This window comes from Homo sapiens, chromosome 12 (genome assembly GCF_000001405.40).
Source record: "Homo sapiens chromosome 12, GRCh38.p14 Primary Assembly".
Classification (NCBI taxonomy): domain Eukaryota; kingdom Metazoa; phylum Chordata; class Mammalia; order Primates; family Hominidae; genus Homo; species Homo sapiens.
The window spans coordinates 39,590,189-39,614,761 of NC_000012.12; the positions used below are offsets into that span (position 1 = coordinate 39,590,189).

At 33.8% G+C, this 24,573-nt stretch overlaps 1 protein-coding gene across 11 annotated transcripts in view; it reads right to left on the reverse strand.

Moving 5' to 3' along the window:
- ABCD2 (ATP binding cassette subfamily D member 2) overlaps positions 1 to 24,573 on the reverse strand; it is an 88,779-nt gene that overhangs the window by 59,164 nt on the left and 5,042 nt on the right. For 6 of the 11 annotated variants that reach the window (NR_182046.1, XM_017018992.3, NM_001412789.1 and 3 more), the window contains exons 3-6: positions 17,411 to 17,526; positions 14,574 to 14,742; positions 13,724 to 13,818; positions 10,383 to 10,528 (exon numbers count right to left, since the gene is read on the reverse strand). Coding sequence is in view for 9 of the 11 variants with exons in the window: in XM_017018992.3 (XP_016874481.1) it covers positions 10,383 to 10,528; positions 13,724 to 13,818; positions 14,574 to 14,742; positions 17,411 to 17,526 (526 nt within the window). In the remaining 2 variants the exon portion in view is untranslated. Of the gene's footprint in view, positions 1 to 463; positions 7,316 to 10,382; positions 10,529 to 13,603; positions 13,819 to 14,573; positions 14,743 to 15,155; positions 15,320 to 17,410; positions 17,527 to 24,573 lie in introns of those variants that run through there. The other 5 variants (XM_017018993.3, NM_001412792.1, NR_182045.1 and 2 more) reach the window with 5 other exon arrangements.

The following is a 24,573-nucleotide window of genomic DNA, read 5'->3' on the forward strand; positions in this document are numbered from 1 at the left end:
GATAAGCACTCAAAGTACCCTTTACTAAACTTTCCTTTCTAGATATATAGACCTATTCAGATAATCTTCTAAATATTTCAGGTAGATCAATTACCATGTTAGAATGTTACTGGCTCACTTGCTCTGGCTCATTACAAAGGAGATCATGCAACATATCTAACATAAGCAACAAAAGAAATGGTCAGATTGCTCCTCATTAGTAGCTATCAAAAAAGAAATATTAACTAGTTTTAATTTACTTTCTATAAGTAAAACCCAGAATCATCTCTATATGTTATGGAAAAGATAGCAAAATAAATCCATAGGTGTCACATGTGGATCATTTAACAAATAATCCTTATTTAAACAATTATAATAATTATAATAATTGTTTTTTCTTGGGAATCTACAATTCTTTCAAATGTATATATAGTTAAAATTCAATTATAATAGTAAAATTATTTGAGATAAAATTCATTCCCCATGATTATGGCTTTTTATAGTTTTGTTACTAATGTCTCAAGGTGCTTTTATACTTTGCATTATATTCCCACTTTTCTGCATTAACATCTAAGTAATCTGACAGTGATTTTTTTTTTTTGGTAAAATGTATTGATGTTTGTTAGAGTTACTTTTTTATTATTCTCTAAGACAAAGCTAGAAAGAATGGGAAAGCACTGAGAAGTGTTAGCTGTATCTATGTGCTTGGAGCTTCTGAATGACACAAAATTCTAAATATTTCCTAAATTGAGAGCAAAAAACCAATTCAAATCCAGAGGAGAAAAAAAAGTGTGACATGAAAGGCCTATATGCAGAGAAAACAAATTTTTAAAGTAATCATATAAAATTTAATTGGAACAATATTGATAAAAATTTTGCAGCAATGTTAACTGTATTTAAGGCATGAGATGTGTTAAGTTTAAGAATAATGTACCACTAAGTACTGCTGTGTTGTCGTAGCAAAAGAAGTTAACAATCTGAAAGGCATAAAATTTAACTATCAATAATTCACATAACTATACATGCTGGAACCAATCATTGCATCAGGGTTTTTCATGCATAGAAAGAACTAGATTTGAGTCATTTATAGTATTCTTAAAAAATGTGTGATAATAAGAAGAAATATTCAAGTGAAAATAGATATTTACTATTACTGAAATTATATCTTTTGGATAAGATATTTCTAGATTCCAAAACAGAGATGAGAATAGCCTCTTAAGAGCAGGGATGAGGTTTATTTCCAAGTAATAAAAATAATATTAGGCCAGGTGCAGTGGCTCGCATCTGTAATCCCCGTAATTTGGGAGGCCAAGCTGGGTGAATCACCTGAGGTCAGAAGTTTGAGACCAGCCTGCTCAACATGGTGAAACCCCATCTCTACTAAAAATGCAAAAATTAGCCAGGTGTGGTGGCACACACCTGTAATCCCAGCTACTTGGGAGGCTGAGGCACAAGAATCTCTTGAACCCTGGAGACAGAGGTTGCAGTGAGCCAAGATTGTGTCACTGAACTCCAGCCTGGGCAATAGAGTGAGACACTGTCTCAATAAGTAAATAAATAAATATATTATTAGTGGAAGAATTAAAGTATTGCTAAGCTGTTAAAAATGCAAATTTCTGTAAAAGTCAACTTTAAGAGTATTTATCATTATATCAGATTACCATTTAAATTGCTGATATTTGACCTATAAAAATTGCAGTTCCATATGGTTTAATGTAATAGTACTCATAAAATGAGAAAAACTTTTGAGTGAGAGGGGAGTTTTTTCATTATTACTTTTATAAATGAGCCCTTAGAAAAGTTAAAGATTTTAAAAAGTATCTTTAGCATTCTTCCAAGCCATAGAAAGCTATAGAAAATTGTGTTTACATTTATAGATCTCTTTAAAAGAGATTTAAAAAAACTGAACTGTACCAACTACTACACAGGAGGAACTAAAATGTACAACTTCTATTTCTGTCAACTGACTGCCCAAAGGTATTTATACAAAGATTACTTGGCTGTAAGTCTAACAGTCAGAAAGCAAGGAATAGAAGTCAATTTGCTACAGCAATGCTACTAAGCCTTCCTTGTGGTTAAAATAATTTTCTAAAAAAGGACATGTTAAATGACAGATATTTATCCCCATCATAAAGAGAATTTTGCAACATACCTACTGCAAGCAGCAAAATAAATAGATTGCTCATAATTAGTGTAAGGTACCAGATTGACTTGGCAGTAGAAACCAAATCTGTGGAGATGTTCATTCATTCAGTCAATCACTTATCAGATATTTATTGCACAATTACAATATATTTACTAGGATCCTACCAGTGCTGTACAGAGACATGTGGTTGCCTTTTCTAGCTTTTAATCTATAAAAGTTTGTTCAACAGTGACTCAACAAGGGCAAAGTCTGTTCCAGTACAACCCCTACTCCCAAAGCCATATTTCTTTGCTTTGAGGGCAGCAGGACAATAGATATGTAACCTACATACACATTGGCACAGTACATAGGTATAGAGTTCTGTGAGGAGCTCTGGATTAAGCCACATCACATTCCTCCTTTATTCCAGTGGCTTTTATAGACCCATATTCCACTCAGGCAGTGGCCTGCTAGTCTGCCTCTTTCTTAAATAAACACACTCCTTGTCCTCAAGAGGTGCACCCTGTTTGCCTTTTGGCAGCTAGATATTCATTAAGAATTGACAGGTCCAAAAGCTAGAGACCTATAGGAAAATTGAGATTAAGATATTTAAAACAGCATACCCCAGATTCTTGCTTAGATCCTTTTCCAGACCACATCCTCATTTTTAAAATCTGAGATCTTGGATAAAAAGAAAAAAAGCAAGGATCTCACTGAGAATACTTTAACAGCACCCTTTCTGTCCTCCATAGAGAAAAGAGGCAAATCAGTTCTTCTGACCTGATCTCATATGCTTTCTAGTTAATAGCCATCATCTGGTTTTATATGTGTGGGTTAAACAATGTTGATATATAACACAGAGTTCCCTGATCCCTACAAAGAAGAAATCTTAGATTTGGAAGTCATTCATATAGAAACAATAGAAAATGGAACTTCACAGCTTTTATTTTTTTGTTTTATTTTTATTTTTATTCTTTTGAGATAGCATCTCACTCTGTTGCCCAGGCCAGAGTGCAGTGGTGCAATCATGGCTCACTGCAGCCTCAACTTCCCAGACTCAAGCAGCCCTCCCACCTCAGCCTCTTAAGTAGCTGGGACTACAGGCAAGTACCACCATATCCAGCTACTTTTTTATTATTTGTATTGACGGGGTCCCCCTATGTTGCCAGGGCTAACCTTAAATTCCTGGCCTCAAGTGATTATCCAACCTCAGCCTCCTAAAGTGCTGGGATTACAGTCATGAGCCACCAGGCCCAGCCCAGAACTTCATATTTTAAAATATCCATAAAGCTTATTTGGTGCAAGTACTTCTTAGTGCACAGGGCAGTTGTGCCAATGTTGGTATTATCGTCCTTCAAGCCCTTTCTGCAGAACTTCTGAAATAAAACACCGTCTTCACTGTTGCAAGCGACAATCTCTTCTTTTGATGACATAAAGGGTAAGTCATGATCTTTTTAAGCCATAATGCATCCTGAAAATTAAGGTTTGCTTGTTTTATATCTCAACAAGAATTCTGATTTAAAATTAAGGGACTATTTTTGAAAAATTCTTTAAAATTTTATGGAGAAATGAATTTTAGAAGAATAGGAAAGAGTAGAGAATAAAATTTAATTTGAAAATGAATTGAACACCAATAAATTTTTTAAAATTTCACTTTCATATGAGAATATAGCTTCCTTCACCTTAACATATCTGAATGATGGCCAAGTACCTATGCTAAAATGTATGTTAAAATTGACTTAATTGCCATGTACATCGAGGATTATGAGGACCTCTGCCTCCAAACCACAGCTTGATATTAGTACAGATCAGCACACCAAGAAAACAACCTTAGCTGGTGATACTTGCAAGGTCAGGATAAAGGGTAGTAATTTTTCATACACATGCCCCTGTTGATACCAATAAGGCAAAATGACTTTAGGGTAAGGCACATCTGAGTTCAAATTCTAGCTCCAGCATTTATCCACTGGAGGACTTAAACCTCTTTAAGTTTTCTCACAAAATAGGGATACTAATACCAACTTTATAGGTTGTCATACAGAAAAATAAGAAACTTATATATGTAGAATTGTGACTAGCACACACTAATTGTTTGACATATTGTTAATTACAAAAAATAACAATACCCTAGAGATGCTCAATCCTGGTTCAGGATGCCTAGGACCCAACAGTTATCTCAAGAGGTCACAACATTCTCAGGATAAAATCAATTTTAATGCATATAATTTTTTAAAACACACACACTATATCATTAAAAGGAAGAAGTGGAAATGCCATCAAAGAAAATATAGATATCAATTAAAGATACCAAAGAAAACATAAATATACTAGTACTTGTAAAGGCTGAGATTTCATGTCTTAAGCTCTTCTTCCTTAGAAAAACAGTTGAAGAATACAATGGCCAGGTAGAGTGGCTCACGTGTTTAATCCCAGCACTTTGGGAGGCCAAGGCGGGTGGATCACTTGAGGCCAGGAGTTCGAGACCGGCCTGGCCAACGTGATGAAACCCCAACTCTACTAAAAATACAAAAATTCTCTGGGTTTCGTGGTGGGCGCCTGTAATCCCAGTTACTTGGGAAGCTGAGGTGCGATAATCACTTGAGGCCAGGAGTTCAAGATTAGCCCTGGCAAGGTAGGAAAACCCTGTCAATACAAATAATAAAAAATTAGCCGTGCATGGTGGTACCATGGTGAACCCAGGAGGCAGAGGCTGCAGTGAGCCAAGATTGTGCCACTGCACTCCAGCCTGGGTGACAGAGTGACACTCTGTTTCAAAAAAAGAAAAAGAAAAAAGAAGATAGCTGAAGATACAGATATTTTTGAAAAGTGAAGACAAATTATAAAGAATGATATTTTGTTATTCCTCAGAAAGTTGGGAAAGTAATACAGACTGTGTTATGATTATCTGAGAAAATATTTAAGATCAAAAACAGTAGGATTTTTTTCATCTTAAGATGCTTAAATGTGATAATCTTATTAATCTGAAAATGAGAGGCAGTGAGTACAGAAGATTTGTATTCAAAGACTTGGTATAGTCTAACTCTGGCTTTGAAATTCCATATAACGCTAAGTAAAGTATGTAGTCCCTTTGAAATTCAATTTAATTACTTAAAAATACTCTATTTAGCATAACTTATACAGAACATAATTAATATGTATTATTCATGCATAACAAGATAGAAATAAAGTTATTATCTATATTTAATTTCCTGTACAATCTAATTAGTGATGTTTACCATTCCTGCTTACAATCAAATTTAAGACTTTTATGTTGCATTTAATTTTAAAATGTGATTCATAACTTTATTTATCAAGTAGTATTTATATTTAATCTAGGAGATTAAGTAACATGGTACTTGTGCACACAACCCTGTGAATGAAGTAGTAGTTACTAGTTAGAAATAAACAAATATTGAGCTGATAAGTAAAATGTTACTCATAATTTCAGAATATCTTCTGAAAACAGGAAACAAAAAATAATGAGTGTTGTGGAAGCAAGCTACCGTCATCTTTTATTATGCTTTTTGAGAAGTAATTTAGCACATAAAATTGTGTCACTTACTTATAGAGAGCAGGTTGAGCTCCTTAGCTAGAGACTGGGAAAATGGCAAACATCCAAATTACTAAAAAACCTTAAAAAATTAAATCAAAGAACTTCAGCTAAAAGAAACAGTGCAGCAAACGAGTAAGGACTGAGAGGATGAGCACTATCATTTCCAGTATGTACTGATGACTTCTTATTAGTGGGGATGAGTCTAAGAAATGCTTTCTTTTCTCAGCATCGTGTGTTAGAGGAGAGTAGGAAAGAACATTATGCTATCCAGAAGTGTCCAAAAAACAAAAACTTCTGCTTACTTGAATCTGTGGTATTTCTTACCTATTTAGAAATTGGAGAAACTGATGCAATCCATGGCAACTGTTCAAATCCTGAATTACTTTCAAAACTCAGGTCAAATGACACACTGTTCTATTTTTTCCTCATTTTGAACATCCATAGCATTTCTTGCCTTTCTTGAGGCACTTATTTCTGGTTTTTATTTCCATTAGTTGAATGTTTTTATTTATAACTAAATGATACATAAACATCATAAGATTATATGCTAATTATTGTCTATCCTAAAAAGACTAAATGAAAAAAAAATTGTTATCTCTCTGACATGAAACACAATACTCCAGCTATTTCTCCCTTTTTTTCTTTTTCTTTCTTTAAAAAAAGTATTTGATCAGATTTAATTCTATACTTATATATAATCCTTCTTTCACTTTCTGAACCTTTTGTTTCTCAGACTCCAAAGTCATGGGTGGGCAGAAGTTTATACAAGTTACCTTTTTGTACACCATTGTGGGAAGCCTGAATCTATTTCAGATCTTGTGGGCCTTAGTATTTGGGCCTGCATAGTAAGTTTGAATAGTAAGAAAATTACGATTAAAATTTCTTTTTCAAGATATTTCTGCCAAGGAAGCGTAGGTAGTAAGAGCATACGTGTTAGAATTACATGATGGGTTGGTGCCCAGGGTGGAACTGGTTCCAGGACCCCAGAAAACACCAAAATCCACAGATGCCTTTATATAAAATGGCCACAGTATTTGCATATCACCAACACACATCCCCCTATATACTTTAAATCATCTTTAGATTACTTGTAATACCTAACACAATACAAATACTATGCATTGGTTTTTTGTTTGTATGATTTTTTATGGTTATGTTGTTGTTTTCAGTGTTTATTTTAAAAATATTTTTTATTCATGGTGGGTTGAATCCAAGGTTGTGGAAGCTGCAGATACAGAGGCCCAACTGTAATGTGATGTATGCAAATGATCTTCTGGAGTATTATTTTTAAAAACTAGTACAAAAGAAAGCAAGATTTTACTCTGAGCAAAATATATTTTGTCAGCAAATATCTATTATCATCTGTCTTTCTTCCTTCTGTCCCTTCCTCTGTTGCTTCTCTCCCACTCTCTCTCTACCCCCAACTCCCACTAAATATTCCAATTTATTATTTTGATGATTGTTAGCATACTATAAAATTTTGTTAGCAGGTGAACAAAATAAACAAGTAAAAGGGTGGGTTTAGGGGCTTTCATGGATGAAGACAGAAACTTACCAGGGGATTAGGAAGTAACAAATAGGCCATAAATTAGTGGATTTGTGAAAGTGAGAGCAGGGGATCACAAATCTCTCCTTAGGGACTTGGAAAGACAGATAAACTGCAACAAGAATTGACAGAAGAAATTCAGGATCTATGTCCAAATGAAAGACTTTTCCTGAGGTCAGGATGGCTAATATAGGAGAGAGCAGTGAGTTTCAATCATCAGCTTAAGGAGTACATTCACATGGCTCAGAAACTCAAACAGCCTAAAATTTCCAGAATACTGTTTTAAAGTATTACCTGAGCAATACTAAGCATTTTAACATCCACCATTCCATAGATTTAGAATGGTTAATCTACATTTTGATGAAACATTTCTTTCCAAAAACGTATCTGATGCTCCACTAATGATCATATGTCATTAATAAAGATAGGATAAAGGGAAGCTGTTATGAAACTAATTTATCTACCAACATTTTTTTGTGTGTGTATTCTTGAACTGAAGCTGAGATTTTCTTTTATCTGGTTCTCATTATTAACACTGCTAAAGTACTAGATAACACTAGCTGGGAAAACATTGAGGTGGTTTCATAATTTATTAGGAATTCAGCTTTCCAAGCTTATGAACTGAGCTATAGCAGCATTCTTCGTGAAGATTTGGTGAAAAAAATAAATGGCCTAATATAGTTAATTATAATTTTTCCTTAGTGGTTCACTTCTTTCTTCCGTATACTACATGACATCATTATAAATCCACTTTTACAAAATATACTCTATTTTTCTCCCATGCAAGTAACAATTAATGTACATTCTGATCAATCCATAAAGAGATTCATCCTCTACCCAGAAGTCTTTCAATCACAAAAAGTGAATACAGGGGGATTATTGTAAAGCTCTGTCTTATGACTTGTGAATTTCATACATAAGTGTCAATTCTATATTGAAATTTCATTTTTTTGCTGCTAAGCTAGTAGTTAACATATTTGATTATTATGAATTAATACAATAAATTAGATTATATATACATTTTTTGAGGTGGAGTTTTGCTCTTGTTGCCCGGGCTGGAGTGCAGTGGCGCCATCTCAGCTCACCGCGACCTCTGTCTCCCAGGTTCAAGAAATTCTCCTTCCTCAGCCTCTTGAGTAGCTGGGATTACAGGCACGCACCACCACACCCGGCTAATTTTGTATTCTTAGTAGAGACGGGGTTTCTCCATGTTGGTCAGGCTGGTCTCAAACTCCTGACCTCAGGCGATTCGCCCGCCTCAGCCTCCCAAAGTGCTGGGATTACAGGCATGAGCCACCCCACCCAGCCAGATTATATTTACTAATGAGAATATCATAAGGCAGTTACCTACCAACAAATATTTTGAAATAGGTTGCATAGCAGCTTTCTTTTACATCATAAAAACGTAAGATTATTTTTTAAATTTACTCGAAAAAATAGCTTTTGGAATGTAAGAAACACTACATTTAGACTCTCAGTTTACATATGGATTTAAATAAATTCTATGGTTTTTGCAAGGATAATGGTCCTATAAAACTTCTAACATATACCCAAATGTTCATGTTTCTAAAAGCCATATAATCAAGGTAAATGACTTTTAACAGTAATTATTAAAATACATTTTAGCCTGAAAAATAGAGTTCTCATTGTTATTTTTCTCCTTAACTGGATTGCAGTTGGTTTTTTTGCTTAAGCAACAGTAAATTTCATAACTAAGAAAAAGTTTCCTAGTGATTTTTGTTTGTTGCAAAGTAACATAGTCAAGTATCTCTGCAGGCAAAGGCTAGAATTTCTTCACTTTCTTATTCTCTGGAAATGTTTTACATTGTTCTGGTCAAAGTTATATTCAACAACTGTAGCTAAAAATATAAAATGTATTTATGTGATTTTACTTGCATCAAGAGAATAGAATTCTATAATAGAAAATTTTCTTCATAATTCTACGCCTTCTAACCTAAATAAAAAAGTAAAATCAACCTACTAAACACATTAATGTCTAAAACAGAAACTTTTGGCAGTATAATTTAGCTTTCAGAATCAGAATGTTTCCCAAAGGAATTGAAAGCATAGACAGAAAGGGACAATGCTTTTGGTGTCACAAAATGTTATCTATTTTGTGTTAAACACAAATATCTATGTCATTGCTCATGTCCAGCATTTTCAGCCAATGCAGTTCTTCATTCTCCTATATTCCAGGCAGCTTCTTACTACCACCATAGGTCTTACTTTAAAGAAAAAAACCCACAAAACCTCATCTGCCTAACTGCTATGTCTGGTCTAAAAATTAGGCCAGTAGACAGGATTGTACAGTACATTCAGGCAAAGGCAAAGGGACAAAAGGGACATATGAGAGCACTATACTTGATGTGACTTTTATGTTTGTGCTTGTACTATACTTCCAGCCTAGGCGCTTGTTAGACTCCACAAAACAGTCCTCTGACATAGTAGGAGTGCTCTATGGGATGTCTATGTATCCAGGATGATGACAGATGGAAAAATTACTGGGTCCAATTAACATGAGGAAGTTCTTCAAACTTCATCTTCTCTTATCCACAATGAATATTACAAATTCTTAGTGTATAACTTTGAATTTTAGACATTTCTAATTGTTCTCAGGGAAGATGATAGCTAAAGAGCTCTGAAGAAATAATGTTCTTTTTCTATGTTTACATGATACTCATTCTTACAGTAAAAAAATTTACTTAAGAAAGTTACAAATCGCTAAATAATCATATAGCATAATTGTAAAGTCTATTTTATGGATCCTCAAATATAAATGAACAATTTTAGAATATATGAATGTATGCAGCTTGATGGAGAGAGCTGTATACTTATCCGGGTGTTATTATTTTTCTGTGAGAAGAAATAATCTGACATCTCAGGCAATCTAATCATTCTCTGAAACAGCCTGCTTGTTATTCCTTGAGACTAACATCTGCAGTCTTTGAGTATTTATTCCATCTAGACAGATGTGAAAATGAAAAAAAGTGGTATTGTCCTACAGAGTATTACAATCAAAGCAGTAATAAAATATTTTGGGCTAAGTGAATTTTTATTTCCTTAATAGTTTCTCTTAATAAAAACATTCTTAAAGATATATAAACTGAGGAACTTGAGGAATCAAGACAATTCAAGAGCAAAAGGAAATTGTTTCTTGTAATATAAAAAGATATACCTACCTTTGTGGAATATAAAACATATGTTGAGGAGGTGGTTTATAGAGGACTCCTTCATACACAGGCCAGAGCCCACTTAGAATTCTGAAGAGAGAACTTTTCCCACAACCATTGGGACCAGTTATCAAAAGATGCATTCCTTCTTCTACCTAAAGTAAGAAATAAAATTACAAACTGCAATAGTTTAAAATGATTTATTTTGGCAGCACCTAAAAGTAAATTATTTTTTTAAAATGTTCGAAAACATGATAACCTAGGTTGGGCAAAAGATCAAGGAAAAATATTTCAGGGTTGAGAACAAGTTTGGCTTTTGACTATTCTCTGAAGCTAAAAGCATCATAAAATAATTCAATTCCAAAGAAAATGGATCTTCTTGAAATGGGCACTGGCTTTCCAAAATTGTAATTTGTTATCAGATACCACATACACATAGAGAAAAACAGCTGCCTGGGAAATAAGACAAATCATAAAAATTTAACTAAAAATATATTACATTATATTTTGATATTAATATTGGATTAAATTTACATTGAATTCAAATACAACTGAAAATTAACTGCAATTAATAGCTACAAAGCACAGTTATCCAAGGAGTCAGCTGGGCTGTTTAATTTTACACTTCAGCAGTCTGAAATGCTACAAAAATCACAAAAGCCCATAATCAGAGAGAGAAGATGATTCAAATTCTGCTTTATTCACAAATAGAGAAAATATGTTTAACAAACCAAGGATAGAGGAAAGCAAGAGGATTGTATTTTAGTCTCATGTCTAGGGATGAATTAAAATACATACACACATAGAATATTACATATATGTGAATAATATATATATATAATATTCATAAATAAAACAGGTTATTTATTTCTTATCTATTGGATGCTTCCCTTTATTTTCTATCCTATTATTGACATTTAAACTGTTTAATTTCATGAGTTCCTATTCCACACAATAGGATGAAGAAGTTGTCTTATTATGGTATTTAAAGGGTATTGTGAACAACAATCAACAGAAACACCATTTAAAATTTTTATCTACTTCTACCAAGAGCAAATGAAATTTTATAATCAGTGATACCCAAAAAATAAATATCAGAAATTTACAGGATGTCTGTAGATCTAGCTTTGTATAGAAAGGATACCAATATTCAAGTATCAATAATGTGGAATACATCATACTGGACCTCAAAGATGAAAGAGTATTATTATATTGCTAGCACACCAAGAAAATCTCAGGAAGAAGCTAGAAAAAATTAATTTGTTATCTGCCTGTGCTCTTTCACTAGAGAAAAGGCTAAGGGTTTAATTTTGTAGAAGCGTAAATATTTTCCAAATGATTTTTAAAAAATCATATATATCATGGTGAAAAGCACATTGGCAAAATATTTCAATAGGGCCATTCTCTATTAGGCATTCTCAGAAATTTAACACATTTTGAGGGGTAATTGGAGACTTTCTACATTAATATTAATATTTTTCTCAGCATAAAGGTCTCTGATGCTTAGAATTCTTTTTGTCTCACACTAACTTTTCTTCTGCAAATAATTTTTAATTTTTTAAAAATTTTATTTATTTATTTATTTATTTATTTATTTATTTATTTATTTTTTATACTGAGTCTTATTCTGTCTCAGGTTGGAGTGCAGTGGCATGATCTTGGCTCACTACAACCTCTGCTTCCTGGGTTCAAGCGATTCTTGTGCCTCAGACTCCCGAGTAACTGGGATTACAGGTGCCCACCACAATGCCCGGCTAATTTTTGTATTTTTTAGTAGAGACAGGGTTTCACCATGTTGGCCAGGCTGGTCTCGAACTCCTGACCTCAGGTGATCTGCCCACCTCAGCCTCTCAAAGGGCTGAGATTACAGGTATGAGCCACCGCGCCCAGCCTGCAAATGGTTTTTTAATCCTGAAGGCTAACAAAGGTATGAGATCCTTTCCTCTAGAAACTTATTTTTCAATCTATGCAGAGGAAACAGAACTTCCTATTATATTTTAGGGACCTGAGAATTTAAATATAATTTTCTGTCTGAGTTAGAAATAAATAATTATGAAGAAAGTATACTTTACTAATGCATATCTTTGTACAACTTCAGACCTTCTAAGATACTTTCACTAGACTGAGTATTTTTAGTTTAGTTTATTCTATGTAAAAGAAATGGCTCTAAATTTTTCTGCAGAAAGAGTGTGATATGCCCACACTAATGTAGTTAGTAAGCAAAGCTCAAGCCATGTACACTATTTATTAAATAAATAGAGCAACAAGAATCAATATTATAAAATGTATCCAGACCAAAACACCCTCTCTATAAAATCATAAATTATAAATTATGAAACCATTAATAAATAGTTAAATACTCTGTGTATGCCATGAGTACCTAATTGGTGCTTGTGGTCAGATCCTAGTAATTAGATCATCCTATAGGTCTATATGTGGAAAAATAAAGTCTGACCAAATTGCAGCTAAAAATACAATTTCTTTAAATTTACTGACACAGGATTTTACCCTGTTCAATGCTACTCATCCTCTCAACTCTCAGTAACCCAAAATATTTGCAAATACATCTTTAATAATTAAACCTTGACTAAAGTCCATACTAAAATCATTAATTAGCATATGTGTTATCATGTTTGTAATTCTTTTATCAAGTCAAATCATTTCTTTGTTTGAACTAAGCTCAACTTGCTATATTATGTCATTAATGCTTGTCAGCAAATTATTTTGTACTTGAATCCCAAAACATGTGTTTGAATTTTATAATGCCTTAAGTCAGAGAGTCAGGTTTATTAGATACTTTTACTTTTTAGTTTTTGTAATTAATACATAAGATATTAAATAAGAAATTATTGTCAACAGAATTAAAAACTAAATTCCAATCCATAAATCTTCTGATTATTTTATAATAGTACATTAGTACATGTAATTATTTTAAAAATTTAAGTCACATAATGTATATTGACAAAATTAAACTTGCTAATGACTTCTATTCATATTTTAGTAAATATATTACAGTATTGGCTTTTTAAAAAATAATTTCTATAAGGCAAAAAATTAAAATTTATTTCCAGGTACAAATTTCTCATGAAATTTCCTATTGTTCCCCAAAATTACCTTGTACACTATAATTTTGATTTTCAACCTGGCAATAAAGCAGTAGAAATCAAATTTCTCTTTTCTCTCTGCTTTCTGAGGAATAACTGCTTCTGTAATTGAGCCACTGTGCATACCTTTCTTGATTTCCCCTTTCCAAATGCTCCTCCAAGTATTTAACATAAGGTACATGAATTCTGAGTTGTTTTGTATTAGTGTGATGGCAACAATCAGAAGATTCTTGAATATCATCTTACTTTGAAGTTTAGCCTGGAAGCCACCACTTCTCCTGCTGGTGTAATTATGGGAACATTTTCACAAATAATTCCGTGATCCACATCAATAACTTTTCCTGTAATTAAGAAAAAGTGTAAGATACAAACATTATCACAGGTTTCTGATTAAATAACGTAAATTATTATGCAGTATAACAGGTAATTTCAATTATAAAGATAATTCACAGTAATAAATCACAGAAACAAATGTAAATATAGATATCCAGACCTGAAGCAAAGTTTAATGTAATGCAAATTTGTACATATTGACACATCTACTTGAAAAATCTTTCTGAGAAACATTTTATAATAATTGAATGTCAACATCATTACAATAGCAAAGCTATACAATCTGAAATAACCCAGCCTTAATTTTTACTACTACTCTATTTCCCTAAATTAACATATCCTATAGAAAAAAAACCACAGTGCTGCAAAAAAGGGAAATAAGACATAGAATAATGCAATTTTAAAAAATATGTAACCAAATTTAAGTTTAGAAACAGTATAATGAAGAACAACATGACATTAGCTCGAATTCTATTTGTTAGATGAATTTTAAAAGCAAACGATTCATTATGCCATATGTGCAGTTTCCAAAAATAATTTGGAAAATTGTGTCCTAAATAAAAGTAGCATAACACTGTGTTTTTGTGGTAATGTTAGTCACCACCCCTCAAATTGCAATACTAATATTAGGGATTGCTGTTTAAATAATGTTGGTTATTTAAATGTTGGTACTTTGTAACTACTAAAAGCTACCTTCTTAAACTTTGGTTCTGTTGATAAATACTTAAATATAGGAAAATATAAAAGCACTTGAGTTTAATACCTTTAATTGCCAATGTGTCACTGAGAGGTAATTCTACCTTAGCTCCATTCTTGCTATGGCTTTCAGATTCTTGAATGACAGCAGTTCTCTTATAAATGCCTCTTTTTACTTCATCAAAGACCCAAAACATATTGTACACTCGAGCAGTGTAGCCTGCTAATTCAGTGACCTAAAAGCAACACAGAGATATAAAATAGAGTTACTATATCCAAGACAATATTTTAAATAAATATGTAATCAGATAAGCTTCTTGACTTAATGTAAAAGATTATATTGCATTATACATGAGATATATATAATACATCTGAAAACTAAAACACATGACAGTACAAAAGAGCACTATAACACAATAATATGTTTGATTGAAATTATAAAACATAATATACAGATTTCAGAATATTAATGACACTTAAGGATCTTTCAGTCAAATTTCTGATTTGACCTCTGTTTACATGATGAAATTCATTTCCAATAAATTATAAATTTTGTGGAAAGCTTAAGGTCATTCAATGAAATTATAATCTTTTATTTTTGGTACCTTTTTCTATTTAAAATAGAAGATTTTAAGTAGGAGAAAAGTACCTTTTTGTCCTATTATGAAATGAATGTTTCTGAGCCAAATTGATTGTCAAAATTCCTCTATTTGGCAGGATACCAATATTGAGAGCAAGCTCAATGAAAAGCTTCAAATCCTTTTCAGTATAATTCCCCCAATCCAGCTTCTTTTGAAGCCAAACATGATTTATATGCCCAAAGAAAAACATTAAATATATTTTTTTTTCTAGGTAAGATTATAAGATGAGCTAAATCTCTACTTTAGTCCACAAAGCTCAATGGAATGGTGCCTTGTTCCTATTCTCTCAGCTGTTCATTTTGGTTAACCTCCTGCTGTTTTTCTATTAAGAGAACACCTTGCTATCAGGGTACTCTGAAAGGTGACTCATTTCCTATCAAGAACATGTTTCTCAATGAAACAGAATGCACAAGAACTAAGGATAGTTCTTGCACAAGAATACACAAGAATAAGCAAGGTATCTCAGAAATAAATGTTTCTTAATAAATTGCGGAAAAATACAACAATGCTGACATTTGTGTAAAATTTCTGTGTATGCAAAACATAAGCAGTAAATGAGTATGTATTATTATAAAAGCCTTCTGAAACACATCTCTACTGAGAGATCTGTAATTACACTGTTATTTCATTTCTATATGTTAATGTTATAGCTATTTAAATGATGATTTCTAATGTTATCTGGAAGAACCTCTTGAGTTGTCAAGTAGAGGAAAACAAATTTAAAGATCAACAAAATAGGGATTCAAGTGAAACCTGGGCAAATATAAATATTTGGGTAGAAAAGAATTCCAAAACCACAAGTAGAGGTCAATTCAAGAAAGGCAGGAGGCAATGAGTCAGTGGATCAGGATGGAATGTGAAGACGGTAGGAAGTGTCTGACAAAAACTAAGAATGTGCCGGTAGACAAATTACTCTGGGGTACAAGACAGGGAATTTGTCTTAGAACCCTAACTCTACAAAGGAAACTTGGTCCCTCTGGTGCTAGCAGAGAAGGCATGGTGGGTGCTTTCATGTGCCGTCACAGCAGTACAAGAATTTTTAGAAGTGAACATTTTATGATTAAAAGTAAATTCAGGCAAAAATAAAGCAAAATGCAATCATTCGTTGAGTTGGAGACAGTTTAGAAAAACTAATTGTTATCATTTCTCTAACCTAGATAGCACAATATTTTAATGTGAGATAAATAAAATTTTGATTTGTCATTTAATTTTAAGTAATTTATTACATCAACAAATCTATCCCAAAGACTGTGTCTCCAGATTATCAAAATTACTATTTGAACTTTTTAAAAAAATTGAGTTGCTTGCTAGCCCTTTGTAATTCTTTTATATAGTTTATTCAAGGCTGACTTAATATGCAGCTAAATTTACAAAGATGCTTTAGAATTTATATTGATATGATAGCCATAAGACTAACTGGTAGTGAGAATAATTTTATGGGAACATTGTGTAATATCTGAATTAAATTAAGTAATTTTAACCTTGGCCCTGTGGTATCTGCAGGTCTTATTACTATTTTGTCAACAAATATTTATTAACCACACAGTATTCCAAGTATGAAAATGGATATTAGAAATGTAAAGATGAGTAAGACAGTTCCTGCTTCAAGGAGCTGAGTGGTGTGATGCAGGCAATATACACAGCTATAATGTGGTAAAACATCAGACATACACTGAGATGGACACAAAACAGGATGACCCAAACTCTGCAGGAAGAATGCGGAATGGTAAGAAAGTATTACCCATTTAATGAAGGAAAGGTAAAAGTTTGCGAGATATATAAGAAATGTTATTAGCTAACATTTATTGAGTGTTTAATATGTGCTGTTTTAAATTTTCTACATGTATCAACTCACAACAACCCCACAAGTCAGTGTTATCATATCCCCATTTTATAGATGAAGAAACAGAGACACAGACGCTGTAGCGACCTTGACCCAAGGTCACATAATTTGTAAATTCATAAAATGAAAATTTAGGCACTCTGGCTCCAGAGTTCATACCTAAGGGTTTCTTTAAAATGTGAAAACAAAGATATCATACTATAGAGGGAAAAAGAGAGATAACAATTGATAGTATTATAAAACAAAGGATATTAGCAGCATTACACTTGTGAATTGCTGCCCTTAATCTTGATTATACGCAGCAATTTTTGGCAGAGAAAAGATATGTTTCCAAAATACTAAGTATACTTGGTAATTGACATTTTGCTTGATTTTCATAAATTTTATTTTAATTGAATTGACAATAAGAAATGCAAGTACCTCTTTGTATGAAGACATAATCCTTTCAATAGCATCAGCTCCAGAGGCCAGTAAATTTCGAGCAGTGGTAAAGGCTTCTGTCCGTTCACTAACCATAACTTGCTTTTGGCCATCCTCTAGATATAAAAACAAATTACAAAACTTGAGTTTTTTTTTTTTTTTTTTTTAGTAACTTAATGTTTTATATTATACAAACTAAATTGTGGCTAAAACAACCACATATTAATTTTTCATTAGTAGTAGCAATTTTCTAGAAATATAATGAATCATTGAAAATTCAGTGTTTGGGCTGGGTGCAGTGGCTCATGCCTATAATCCCAGCACTTTGAGAGGCCTGGGTGGGCGGATCACTTGAGGTCAGGAATTTGAGACTAGCTTGGCCAGTATGGTGAAACCTTGTCGCTACTAAAATTACAAAAATAAGCCAGATGTGGTGGCGCATGCTTGTAGTCCCAGCTCCTTGGGAGGCTGAGGCAGGAGGATCACTTGAACCTGGGAGGTGGAGGTTGCAGTGAACAGAGATCATGCCACTGGACTCCAGCCTGGGCCACAGAGTGAGACCTCTTCTCAAAAGAAGAAAGGAAAGGAAAAAAAGAAATGAAAAGAAGAGAGAGGAGAGGAGAGAAGAGAAATAAGTGTTTGTATCAGATTTTGTTTAAAGTTCCTCTTGTTTTATTATTTTTTCCAAAATGAGAGTTGGGACAAATAAATCAAAAGGAACTAAAACTATTTTCATTTAGCATTCTTTCAACCCTTTCCACTTGGACTCCCTGCCCTTAGGAGGGAGCAATAATGTACTACTGGGCGGCCAGGTGCGGTGGCTCATGCCTGTAGTCCTGGCACTCTGGGAGGCCAAGGCAGGCAGATCACTTGAGACCAGGAGTTTGAGACCAGCCTGGCCAACATGGTGAAACCCCATCTCTACCAAAAAAAACGAAGATTAGCCGGGCATGATGGCAGATTCCTGCAATCCCAGCTACTTGGGAGGCTGAGGCACAAGAATCGCTTGAACCCAGGAGGTGAAGGTTGCAGTGAGCGGAGATCACACCACTACACTCCAGCCTGGGTGACAGAGTGAGACCCTGCCTCAAATAAAATAAAATAAATAAAATAAAATAATAAAATATAAAATAAAATACCTACTGGGCAATAAAATAGTATTGATCTGGTAATTAAATATTAATACTACTAATAAACAAACATTTATGGTGTGGTTTCTTTAATAGAAATGCAAATTAGCTGATTCTCATAATCTAGCCTCTGTCTACCTTTCTCAACCATCCTTCACCCTACGCTCCAGCAGCACCCCATACATGGCATACTCTGTTAATCCTCTGGCATTTGTATATGTGATTTCTCTGGACTTTAATATACTTTCCTTTCTTTCTTGCTTAACTTTTTCTCCTTCTTTAAGAGTTAACACTTTACTAAAGGTTTTGCTAAGAATCCTTGTCTCTTTCAGTGGACTATAATTTCTTTGAAGGTCAAGACTGTGTGTTTTATTCTTTATTCCTAGTATTCAGCACAGTGTCTAACACATAGTACTCCTTAATGTGCATTGAATGGATGGATGAGTGGATGGACGGATGGATGGATGGATGAACATCCTAAATTACTGTCAATGGAGAATTATGGTTAAGAGTTAGGAATCAGACTAGGTTTGAATCTAGGTTTTATTCCTTATAAGCAAGTAGTAAGGTAAGTAGGGCAAGACACTTACCTCTCCACATCTATTTTCTCACCTGTAAAATGAGGTACATAACTATCTCAAACAGCCCTATCTTTTAGGGTTCTAAGGGTTATTGGTGAAAACCGAATAAAGCGTTAGTGCAATACATGGCCCACAGTAAGTGCTCTAAATATCAGCAGTTATTATTTTTTGTAGTTGTCGTTGCTATTATTGTATATCCACTCAATTTTAGTTTTAGTATTCAAAATTACATTCTCCAGGTTGTTACTTTAATCTTTTCATCAATTTGATTCTCTAGCTGGTCCTTCTATACATTATCTTCAAATTTCCAAACTAGATATTATAAGCTAAGGAGGAAAGTAGCAGTGATATAGATAGCCATAGGCCCATTTTGATATTTAGTTCACTCTAATTTATCTCAAAGGATTTCAGTGCAAATATATACTTTATGCCTTGCTGTAATTACCAGATATTTTTACTTTTTTTGCACATAGACAGCTCAACTTATTTTGAAAGGGATACCTGCACAATATGAGGTAAAATTCACCCAGCATGTATTTACTAGACACTTAGATGTGCAAGAAATTAGGCAAGATACAGGAAAAAATATGATTTTCAGATTTTTTTTCCTGAGAGAGCTTACAGCTTGGTAGAAGAGAGATGTCAAATTCCTAAACAATTATGTAGGGAAGCCTGGATGAGTTAATGCAAGGTGTTTGGAGAGGGCAAAAATTATTACTTGCTGCAAGAGACAGAAAATGCTTCATGGAGGAGTAGATTTTGAGAGACGTCTTGAAGATGGCATAAAATTTTAATAGATTAAAAGTATGGCATAAGCAATAGCACAGAGAAGGAACATGTCGAGTAATGCTAATTGAATGACAAACTGGTTAAGTTTACAGTATGGGTTGACGTCAAGCACTGATTTCATGGACTATCAGAATCACCATGAGTTCATGGAGATGTTTTACCATAGTCCAATGTGTCCTCTCCTAGCCTTACTGATAATCACTCCTCTAGAGAACTACTGTTAGTCCCCTTGAAGTTAATTAGTTAGTTTACCTAAAGAAGGAAAACAAAAAGGCTGATGAGCATTGGTATGAGGGAGAAGCAAAAGATGTGATTACATAAATAGACTGGGAACAGAATATAGATATTCTTAAAGACATGTAAATGTGTGATACAATTTAGATAGCCACAAAAGGGGTACCAAAATAGTAAATTCTTATATCAGTTAAAATGCTAAGAATAGTTTTGGCTCATAGAAAATCTGGCTGACAATCTAAAATAATTATGGAATTTTATGAATTTGGGTTAAAAGGGATTCAAATAGTAGTTTTCATCGACAGCTTCTGTTAAGAGGAAAAAACATTTGCACAGATGGACTGGCATTTCATATGGCATGATAATTTCTGTCTTGCTTTGGCAGATTAATGCTTATTGGGTCTTCTTCATGTTTTTAGCAATAAAATAATAAAAGCTTCCTCCAGATCAGATTTTATGTGGCTTTTTATTCTACTAGTTGTTCTTTGGCAGGTACTGTGAGAGCATTGCCAGTAGTATTTTGTCATGCACACAACAGCCAACTGCCTGACCTCTAAGACAGGGCCAGATTCCTTAGTGCCAGAGATATAAATCCATGACCTAAAATACTAAGCAGTTTTTATTCTAGGTCAATACATTCTTTTTGTCCTCACTGAATATTTTAGCTATTTTGTCAAAAGTTCCTCATTTAAGGATTTCATATTTAACACTATACCTGTTCATTTTACTGCTAATTTGGAGCTCTGATAGTAAAGAGTACATATTGAAAATTGGTCACATGTCTTGTTATTTCACAGAAAAGATGGGGAAGAATTTTAAACTTAAGGTTATGCCTTATATATTTACCATAACCCTTGCAAATGTACATCACAAAGAGTGAAGCCTAATGTAAATTATGAACTTTGGTTAATAAGGAATAGATATTGGTTCATCAGTTGTAATGAAAGTTCCACACTAATACAAGATATAAGGCATAGGGGAAACTATGGGGGGAGAGGGTATTTAAGACCACTGTACCTTCTGATCAGTTTTTGTAAACCTAAAACTTACCTAAAGAAATAAGGTGTATTATTTTTAAAAAATAAAAAGTAAGTTTATTCTTCTACTTTTTTCAAGCTTATCATCTGAGTTTCTCTTCATTTATCTTTCTCTTTGTCATCTTGACAAATCTTGACAAAATTTATAACCTGCGCCTATCCTCCACCATATATAAACATCCATTCTAAGTGACTGAAGATCTAAATGTGAAATGAAAAACCAAGGAAATTTCTAGAAGATAAAATAAGGAATAACTTTATTATGTTGAGTTAGGCAGATATTTCTTAAATAGGACATAAAACCACTAACCATAAAGAAAATTATTGGTGAATTAAACTATAGTAAAAGTATGAATTTCTATTAGACACCATTAAGAGAGTGAAAAGGCCAGATGTAGGGTGGGAAAATATATTTGAGATTAAATGTGTGTGTGTGTATGTGTATGTGTGTGTGTGTGGTGTGCATGTATATGATATATCCAACAAATGACTCATTACATAATACATAAAAGCTTTTACAAATCAGTAAGAAAAAACTGATAAACCAATGTAAAAATGAGCAAAAGACTTACAGGCACGTCATAACAAAGGCTATCCAAACGTCCAATGAGTAAATAAAAGTGCTTAACCTCAATAGTCATTAGAGAAATGCAAAGTAAGACCACAGTGAAGTACCACTATACACTCATGAGAATGTCTAAAATGAAAAAGCCAGACAAAGATATGGAGGAAATAGAACCCTTACACATTGCTGTTGGGAATGTAAATTGAAAGAACTTTTTTTGGAAAACTGTTTTACAAAATCTGCTAAAGCTGAACCTATGCATAGCCTGTAATCTAGCAGTTTTACTTCTAGTTAAGTACTCACAGATATGTATATACATACACCAAAAGATCTGGACAAAAATGTTCTTAACAGCGCTATTACTAATACCCAGCAAACTGGATACAATCTAATGTCTGCTAACAACAGAATGGTTAAATAAAATGGTATAGTCATACAACGGGATGCTATATAGCAAAGTCAATAAATATGCTATGGTTATACTCAGTAACACTGATGAAGCTCATAAGCATAATACTGAGTCAAAGAAGCTAGTCATAAAAGAGTATGTATTATATAATACTATTTATGAAATTTTCAAACTAGCAAATACTACTTGATAGTGAGGTCATTATACTTTGTGACAACTCATTAACTGGTACACTAATGATTATGCCCATATTGGCATATATGCTATACTTTAAACAATTGTAGTCACTTTTATGCATACCTAATTAGAGTTTTAAAGTACGCCTTTGATATGTATTGATAATACTGCTATGTTCATTGGTCAAAAAGAGTACAATTATATCCAAATTGGCCCACAATATAAAATAACATTTCAACGATTTGGCATTGGAATATGAGACAATAATGCAGCAGAAACTGAAGCTATGGTTATAATCTTATTGGCAGTACATTTTAGGAATAAAAGCATCACCCATGCTACTGGAGTGCATGCAGTGCCTTTCAGTTACTCCTGATATCCTGCTTCACACTCACAGATCACAAACATGTTGACATTACTGGCAGTGCTAGTAGCTTAGACACTCTTTTTTCCTGCCTGTTAGGTGTCTGTGATAAGATATTGACAGAGTAACCTCATAGCTTTCACTGGCCTCCTTGCCCAGAACAGCTTTTGATATCAAGAGAAGAAAGGCAGCCTACTAATGTTAAAGAATTGAGGTTGTGGGCCGGGCGCGGTGGCTCACGCCTGTAATCCCAGCACTTTGGGAGGCCGAGGCGGGCGGATCACGAGGTCAGGAGATCGAGACCATCCCGGCTAAAACGGTGAAACCCCGTCTCTACTAAAAATACAAAAAATTAGCCGGGCGTAGTGGCGGGCGCCTGTAGTCCCAGCTACTTGGGAGGCTGAGGCAGGAGAATGGCGTGAACCCGGGAGGCGGAGCTTGCAGTGAGCCGAGATCCCGCCACTGCACTCCAGCCTGGGCGACAGAGCGAGACTCCGTCTCAAAAAAAAAAAAAAAAAAAAAAAAAAAAAAAAGAATTGAGGTTGTAGACCTCAGGTAACTATTTTCTTCACATAATTTCAGTCATTCTCTTAATACTAAGTAAAGAAAGGGGTGATAGTCTTTAAAAATAGTATAATAGAAACTCTACATAACTAACACTTCAATGCCTCTTTGCCAACCATTTGGTCCCATGGTTACTCTGCCTCAAACTTACCCATCTTCCTTATAGAATAAGTTCCAATGTAGCTAATATGGTGGCAGCATGATGCAGTAGAAGAAAGCAGTGCATCTGGAGTTATATAACGCCCTCCATCCTTAGAGCTTCCGCTAACTAACTGTGTGACTTTAGGCAAAGCTGGGGCTCTAGACCAGATGGCCTTTAAGCTCCTCTTTTGATGTGAAAATGCCATGTTGTATATGTGATTTTATTATGTGAATTTGAATACAAACATAATCCTGTCTTTACCATAAGATTTCACTTAAAGTTTTAGGTGGATAGTACAGCAAATCTGCAATAGAATTATTTTTCCTTTCCCTTCCAACAAAAATTATGCGGGTTCTTCCTTTCTCCATTTTCACCTCTGAATTCCTAATCACTTTTGAACGTGCTCCTTTAAGCTACAGCAGTGATCATGTTAGCAAACATCTACTGAATATCTGTGAGCCAGGCCTTGTTCTAAGTTTCACATATCTGATCTTATTTAATGCTTGTAACAACGCTGCTATCATTTCTCTCATTTTGGAAATGTGGAAATTGAAGGACAAAAGGTTACATGATTTGCCCAGGGTCACAGTCTAGAAAGCAAAGAAGCCAGCATATGATCCAGAATATCTGACTCAGGAGCCACAGGGTAAGAATATGATAAATATTAACAATTGCTTCTACCTAGGTTCTTACTTAGCCAAGGACTGTTTCAAAACACATTAAGTATGTTACATGTAACTTCGTAAAAATTTTGAAAGATGTGTATAATTATCTCTATAGTTAAGATAGGAAAACTGATGTACATAAAGTGTATGTAACTTTCCCAGGAAAGGACAACTATCAAATAGCAGAGCCAACATTTGAACAGCAGCCTTCTTTTTTCTTCATTTTATCCTCTTTTTCCCCCCTCTACTTCACATTTTCCCCTTGCCATTTCTTTCTGACTCACCTATTTTTCTACCTTTTTTTTTTGCCTTAAAATATATAAAGCATCATGCACTTTACCTCTAACATAAGGGACAAACTAAAGGCATACGTGTAAACTATGACTGAAGATTAGATTAGAATACATGGTATGTAATTCCAAGAACTAAAACCTTAAAGATATACTATTATCTTAAAAAAATTCTTTTGGCTAAGTAAAGTCACTCGGTATTTTCATGTGTTAAGT